The sequence below is a fragment of the Homo sapiens genome, chromosome 12 (genome assembly GCF_000001405.40).
Source record: "Homo sapiens chromosome 12, GRCh38.p14 Primary Assembly".
Lineage (NCBI taxonomy): Eukaryota > Metazoa > Chordata > Mammalia > Primates > Hominidae > Homo > Homo sapiens.
In genome coordinates, this window is record NC_000012.12 from 14,316,982 (window position 1) to 14,324,647 (window position 7,666).

At 44.5% G+C, this 7,666-nt stretch overlaps 2 annotated features.

Annotated features, from left to right (window-relative positions):
* Positions 5,797-6,297: an enhancer, noted in NCBI's record as "NANOG-H3K4me1 hESC enhancer chr12:14475712-14476212 (GRCh37/hg19 assembly coordinates)". NCBI's record gives its function as "activates a minimal SCP1, AML or CMV promoter by ChIP-STARR-seq in primed H9 embryonic stem cells {active_cell/tissue: H9 hESC(primed)}" and the evidence as "EXISTENCE:reporter gene assay evidence [ECO:0000049][PMID:30033119]".
* Positions 6,298-6,798: an enhancer, noted in NCBI's record as "NANOG-H3K4me1 hESC enhancer chr12:14476213-14476713 (GRCh37/hg19 assembly coordinates)". NCBI's record gives its function as "activates a minimal SCP1, AML or CMV promoter by ChIP-STARR-seq in primed H9 embryonic stem cells {active_cell/tissue: H9 hESC(primed)}" and the evidence as "EXISTENCE:reporter gene assay evidence [ECO:0000049][PMID:30033119]".

The window sequence follows — 7,666 nt, forward strand, 5'->3', positions numbered from 1 at the left end:
GGGGTGTCCCAGCCCTGGATTGGCTCCCTCTATTTTTTTATGTGTGAGAAAATAAACTGATATATTTTTAAAGTCAGTATTATTGTAGATTTTCTGTCACAGCTCAGTCTAGTTCTACTTAATACACTAATATTTCATATTTCTTCCACTATTTTAAATCACTTTTTCAAAATGTGATCAGTCTAAGGGCCATCAAAAGGATCTATCTGAGCTACTTGTCAAAATTTAGTTGCTACCCCACAGTCTGTAGTGGGGCCCCAGGATTCTCCACTAATGATGAGTCTCCTTGGATATTCTTATGCCACCAATATTTGTAAATCACTGATCAATAGGAAGTATCTCTGTTTTTTGTCTTTAGAATTTAGTCCAAAGACTAAATAATGGCAAAGAATAAAACCTGGGGCTGGGCACAGTGGCTCATGCCTATAATCCCAGCACTTTGGGAGGCTGAGGCAGGCAGATCACTTGAGTTCAGGATCAGCCTGGGCAACATAGAGAAACTTCATCTCTACAAAAAAATACAAAAATTAGCTGGGCATGCTGGCACATGCCTATAGTCCCAACTATTTGTGAGGCTGAGGTAGGAGGATCACTTGTGCCCTGGAGCCATAGGTAGCAGTAAGCTGAGATCACGCCACTGCACTCCAGCCTGGGTGACAGAGGAAGACTCTGTCTCAAAAAATAAAATATAATAAAACCTGGATATAGGTCCCCAAAGGAACTAGAGGGCTGATATAAAATACCTAGATATTTTGAACCAAAGAGAAAAAACAACTTTAAATTACCCCTTGTATTAGTTTAGAGTGGCTGCCATAACAAATTACCAAAACAACATACACATCTGTCTCTCACAGTTCTGGAGACTGGAAGTGTAAAAATCAACGTGTCAGCAGGGCCATGCTCCCTCCAGAGCCACTGAGAGAGAATTGATATCTGGCCTCTTTTAGCTTCTTCTGGGAGCTATCTGGCATTTCTTGGCATTCCTTGGCTCACAGCCACATCTCTCTGATCTGGGCCTCCGCCTTCATATTGCCTCCTCCTCTGTGTGCGTCTTTCTAATCTTCCCCTGCTTCTCTGTTTTAAGGATATATGTAATTGTATTTAGGAGAATAATCAAGGACATAATAATCCAATAATCCAGGATAAATGCTTCCTCTGAAGATCCTTAACTTAATCAGATATTCTGCCATACAAGGTAATATTCACTCTTTTGCAATATAAAGTAGTATTTTCAGGTTCTGGAGATTAGGAAATGAATATATGGGGGCATTTTTTTCTCCTAATATATATATATCTTTAGAATTTAGTCCAAAGACTAAATAATGGCAAAGAATAAATAAAGAATAATATATATATATATATATATAGAACCTAGAATAAAGAATAATAAAGAATAAAGAATTATATATATATATAACCTAGGAAATTATATATATATATGTGCGTGCGTGTGCGTGTGTGTGTGTGTGTGTGTGTGTGTGTATTTATTTATTTTTGAGGTGGAGTATTGCTTTGTCATCCAGGCTGGAGTGCAGTGGTGTGATCTTGGCTCACTGCAACCTCCACCTCCCTGGTTCAAGCAATTCTCCCTGCCTCAGCCTCCCGAGTAGCTAGGATTACAGGCATGAGCCACTGTATCTGTCCTCACATCTCTTAATGCTATTTTTGGACAGACTAATTGTTCATGCTTGTTAAGGAGGTAGTGAATATATTGTAGTCTTTCATATGATACTAGATCATTTTTGGAATTATAGAGAGTTACACCCAAGAAAGGAAATATATTGGAAAAAAAAGTCATACTAACTGCCACATCCACTGTCCTTCTTTATTTTAAGCCTTGCTCAGGGAAATTGCTCTGAAATGCATTACGGTGTCACTGATTAGATCATGGTAGGTACATGATTTACAAGAACCTAGCTTACAACCTAGGAGATTACTTGTAGGGGTGATCGTAAACATCTAAGACAAATACTCTTGCTTCCTCTGTAATTTGGACTGTGGAGTTTGAAACATGAAGACTGGCCAGTGAGTAGAGAGATTTAGATTCAGTAGATCTAGGATAGGACCTTAGTGTTCATTCTCTCTCTCTTTCCAGTAGTTCTTTTTCACTCCATGATTGGAGAATCTCTGTTGTTTTGAAAGAATTAGGCCATATCAAGTCAAGTATTTAAATCTTGTTCCTACCACCTGCTAGCTCTGTGATTGTCACTTAATCTTTCTGATATTTAACTTCTTCAACTTTGAAGATTATGCCTACCTATGAAAATTATAAAGATTATATGATGCAGCCGGGCGCAGTAGCTCACGCCTGTAATCTCAGCACTTTGGGAGGCTGAGGCGGGTGGATCACAAGGTCAGGCATTCGAGACCAGCCTGGCCAACATAGTGAAACCCCGTCTCTACTAAAAATACAAAAAATTAGCTGGGCATGGTGGCGGATGCCTGTAATCCCAGCTACTCAGGAGGCTGAGGCAGGAGAATCCCTTGAACCTGGGAGGTGGAGGTTGCAGTGAGCCAAGATTGCGTCACTGCACTCCAGCCCAGGCGACAGTGCCAGACTCCATCTCAAAAAAAAAAAAAAAAAAAAAAGATGCAATATATTTAAAGTACCTAGCAGAGTACCAGGGAAACTGGAAAGCCTCAATAAACGGAATATAGCAAGGGTTTTACTGCCATTTCTAAACAACAGATAGGATGAGTAAAACCACAAATATGGTCCAGTTACATAGCATAAGAAATCTGACAAAGCTCTTACAGCCTTTCGTATGTTGTCTCAGTCTGTTTGTGCTACTACAATAAAATAGCTTAGATTGTGGCCGGGTATGGTGGCTCACACCTGTAATCTCAGCACTTCAGGAGGCTGAGGCAAGAGGATCACTTGAGGCCAGGCGTTTGAGACCAGCCTGGGCAACATAGCAAGACGCCATCTCTGAGAGGTGACAGCGTGCTGGCAGTCCTCACAGCCCTGGCTCGCTCTGGGCGCCTCCTCTGCCTGGGCTCCCACTTTGGCAGCACTTGAGGAGCCCTTCAGCCCACCGCTGCACTGTGGGAGTCCCTTTCTGGGCTGGCCAAGGCCGGAGCCGGCTCCCTTAGCTTGCAGGGAGGTGTGGAGGGAGAGGCACGAGCGGGAACCCCGGGCTGCGCGTGGCGCTTGTGGGCCAGCTGGAGTTCCGGCTGGGCGTGGGCTTGGTGGGCCCCCACTCGGAGCAGCCGGTAGGCCCTGCCGGCCCGGGCAATGAGGGGCTTGGCACCCGGGCCAGCGGCTGCGGAGGGTGTACTGGGTCCCCCAGCAGTGCCAGCCCACCGGTGCTGCGCTCGATTTCTCGCTGGGCCTTAGCTGCCTTCTCGCGGGGCAGGGCTCGGGACCTGCAGCCCGCCATGCCTGAGCCTCCCACCCCCTCCGTGGGCTCCTGGGCAGCCCGAGCCTCCCCGATGACCGCCGCCCCCCGCTCCAGGGCGCCCAGTCCCATCGACCACCCAAGGGCTGAGGAGTGTGGGTGCACGGCAGGGGACTGGAAGGCAGCTCCACCTGCAGCCCCATTGCGGGATCCACTGGGTGAAGCCAGCTGGGCTCCTGAGTCTGTTGGGGACGTGGAGAACCTTTATGTCTAGCTCAGGGATTGTAAATACACCAATCAGCACCCTGTGTCTAGCTCAGGGTTTATGAATGCACCAACCAACACTCTGTATCTAGCTACTCTGGTGGGGCCTTGGGGAACCTTTATGTCTAGCTCAGGGATTGTAAATACACCAATTGGCACTCTGTATCTAGCTCAAGGTTTGTAAACACACCAATCAGCACCCTGTGTCTAGCTCAGGGTTTGTGAATGCACCAGTCCACAGTCTGCATCTAGCTACTCTGGTGGGGCCTTGGAGAACCTTTGTGTGCACACTCTGTATCTAGCTAATCTGGTGGGGATGTGGAGAACCTTTGTGTCTAGCTCAGGGATTGTAAAGGCACCAATCAGCGCCCTGTCAAAACAGACCATTCACTCTACCAATCAGCAGGATTTGGGTGGGGCCAGATAAGAGAATAAAAGCAGGCTGCCCCAACCAGCAATGGTAACCTGCTGGGGGTACTCTTTCACACTGTGGAAGGTTTGTTCTTTTGCTCTTTGCAATAAATCTTGCTACTGCTCACTCTTTGGGTCCACACTGCTTTTATGAGCTGTAACACTCACCGCAAAGGTCTGCAGCTTCACTCCTGAAGCCAGCGAGACCACGAGCCCACCGGGAGGAACGAACAAATCCAGACGCGCTTCCTTAAGAGCTGTAACACTCACCGCGAAGGTCTGCAGCTTCACTCCTGAAGCCAGTGAGACCACCAGCCCACCGGGAGGAACGATCAAATCCAGACGCGCTGCCTTAAGAGCTGTAACACTCACCGTGAAGGTCTGCAGCTTCACTCCTGAGCCAGCGAGACCACGAACCCACCAGAAGGAAGAAACTCCGGACACGCCACCTTTAAGAACTGTAACACTCAGTGCGAGGGTCCGCGGCTTCATTCTTGAAGTCAGTGAGACCAAGTACCCACTAATTCCGGACACGCCTCTACAAACAATTTAAAAATTAGCTGCACCTGGTGGCACATGCCTGTTGTCCCAGCTCCTAAGGAGACTGAGGCAGAAGGATCACTTGAGCCCAGGAGGTCGAGGCTGCGGTGAGCTATGATTACATTCCTATACTACAGCCTGAGACCCTGTCTCAAAAAACAAACAAAAAACACAGCAACAATAAACCTGAAACTGTGTCCTCACATGGCAGGAAAGCTAAAGAACAAGCTAAATGAATATGTCATATTCTATATTAAGAGGACAAGTTAAAGAGAATCCCATTGTCTTAGGGACAGTTTCATTTGCTGCAACAGAATAGCAGAGACTGGGCAATTTATAAAGAAAAGAAATTTCTCAATTCTGGAGGCCAGGAAGTCTAAGATCAAGGCACTGGCAGGTTCAGTTGTCTGGTGAGGGCTTACAGGCTCCGAAAGGGAGGGATGCTGTGTTCTTCTATGGTACAAAGTAGAAGGAAGGGCAAGAGAACTCAAAGCTGCATGAAGCCTTTTTTATAACATCCTTAATCCCCTTAATGAGAGCAGAACCCTAATGACCTTATCCCCCCTTAAAGCCCTCACCTCTTAATAAGGTCGCATTGGCAACACCTGAATTTTGGAGGGGGCACAGTCAAACCACAGCAGCATCTTTTTATGAAATAATATTAGGAGCCCACTGAATTTTTGTTCTCCAGATTCACTCTAGTTCAACACATGAGCAATTCTTGCTAAAATTTCTCTTCCTTTCAGGTGTGATTATATCACAATAGTAAGAGATAACTAACTTTTGTTCAGGAACCTCCTTATCGCTGCTTAGAAATTTGCATTTCTGACCATCAGTAGATTGCAGGTCCTACTCATTAGGGCATTTCTTAGTTGCATATGGTAGTGATATTATATTTCAGTCCTAATTGACATTAACAAGATGATTTGCATGTGGGGGAAAGGTATTCATTTGAGTGCAGATAGAACTGGATTTGTGGAACTCTTCAAAGATATGTAGAGTGGTGCAGGAAGCTCTGGATTTTTCCTTACTGCCTCACTAATACTGTAAATAGTTGGATGACTGCTGTAACTAGATATACACATTCTTGAAGAATGTTTAATCTTGCAAAATTGTGCACTAAAACTATTCAAACCTTATGCAATATTTTAACAAAAGCAGTATCAAAAATGCTAATAATAGCACAGTTTAAAAGATATGTTGAGTTTCTAATAAATATTACAGAAAATATAGCAAAAAACAAAACCAAAAACATAAGAAGGTAGTATGAAGGAAGAAGCTAAAAGGAAAGGTCTTCACAGTTTACATCATAGAGACAAGGAAAGAACTACATTGTTACCAGAATTCCCACCTAGAGAAGCTGTTGCAGACTTTGCACAAAATGTTGTGAGGACGGAGAGTTTGGCTTATATCATTGTGTGTGTTTGTGTGTTTGCACAAAGCCTATGGAAAATTCACATTAAGCAGTTTTAAGACAGAGTCGTGGCCAGACAGAGCTAAACAGAAGAACTTGTAATGTACGACGTACAGACATCTTGCACTCTACGCTTCCCCTGTGGCTGGCCGCATTCCACTAAGTTAGGGTGCAAACTATGCATCAGCTGTAATCTAGCATTTCACTTCTCTCTAGTATCTGACGATAGACTTTTTTTTTTTTACACACATTGACATATATTTGATATAGGTGAAGTTTAGTAAATAAAATGGCCGAGAGCAGTGGCTCACACCTGTAATCCCAGCACTTTGGGAGGCCGAGGCGTGGTGGCGCACGTCTGTAGTCTCCGCTACTCAGGAGGCTGAGGCAGGAAAATCGCTTGAACCCAGGAGGCGGAGGCTGCAGTGAGCCGAGATCACGCCACTGCACTCCAGCCTGGGCGACAGAGCTAGACTCCATCTCAGAAAAAAAAAAAGAAAGAAAGAAAATGAATACCCATATATACAAAACTTTCTTTATATTTGATACAGCTGAACTGTGATAAAATATGAAACATAATCTTTATTTTAAGCTCAAAGCCTGGAGGTTGTCCTAATATTAATGGTTTCATACCAGCTAGAAACTTTTCTTTATTTCATTTTACCTTCCTTTTCTTTGGATAATGACTTTAAGGGATAATGATTGAAGGCCTCTTTTGCTAACACTCCCATTCTTCAGTTAACTATTTGGTTAGGTGCCAGAAAAATAAAAAATAACTAAATATCTTTAAAAAGTCTATTTTCTTGGCCAGGCATGGTGGCTCATGTCCGTAATCCGAGCACTTTGAGAGGCCGAGGCAGGCAGATCACTTGAGGTCAGGAGTTTGAGACCAGCCTGGCCAACATGGTGAAACCCCGTCTCTACTGAAAATACAAAAATTAGCCAGGCTTGGTGGTGCATGCCTGTAATTCCAGCTACTCAGGAGGCTGAGGCAGGAGAATGGAGTGAACCCGGGAGGCGGAGCTTGCAGTGAGCCGAGATCACGCCACTGCACTCCAGCCTGGGTGACAGAACCAGATGTCTCAAAAAACAAACAAACAAAAAACCCATTTCATTTCAAAGTTGAGCACTGAAGTTTGAACATAATATTACTTTTTGCTAGACTATAAGTTCTTCCAGGTAAGGAAATAGGACTATTTAGCATCGGATCTCAAGTTTTCAAAAGAGTGCTTTGTACTTAGTAGGTACTGAACAAATGTTTATCAAATGAATGACTTTTCCCTTTCATGCTATACTCCGTCCTATTTCCCATTCACCAAAGTTGCCATTCAACTGCAGAGTTATAAGTGAAATTTATTTATTTATTTGGAGGCAGGGTCTCACTCTGTTACCCAGGCTGGAGTGCAGTGGCTCACTCGAACTCCCAGGCTCCAGCAATCCACCTCAGCCTCCCAAATAGCTGAAACAGGCCTGTGCCATCATGCCTGGCTAATTTGGTTTATTTTCTGTAGAGACAAAGTCTCACTATGTTGCCCAGGCTGGTCTCAAACTCCTGGGCTCAAGTGATGCTCCTGCCATGGCCTCCCAAAGTACTGGGATTATAGAAATGCACTTTATAATGTTTATTTATGAACGTATTCCTTCTCTCTAGCTGTGCTTTTGTATTTGTTAACCAACCCCTGGCTTTTCTCCCTCCTCA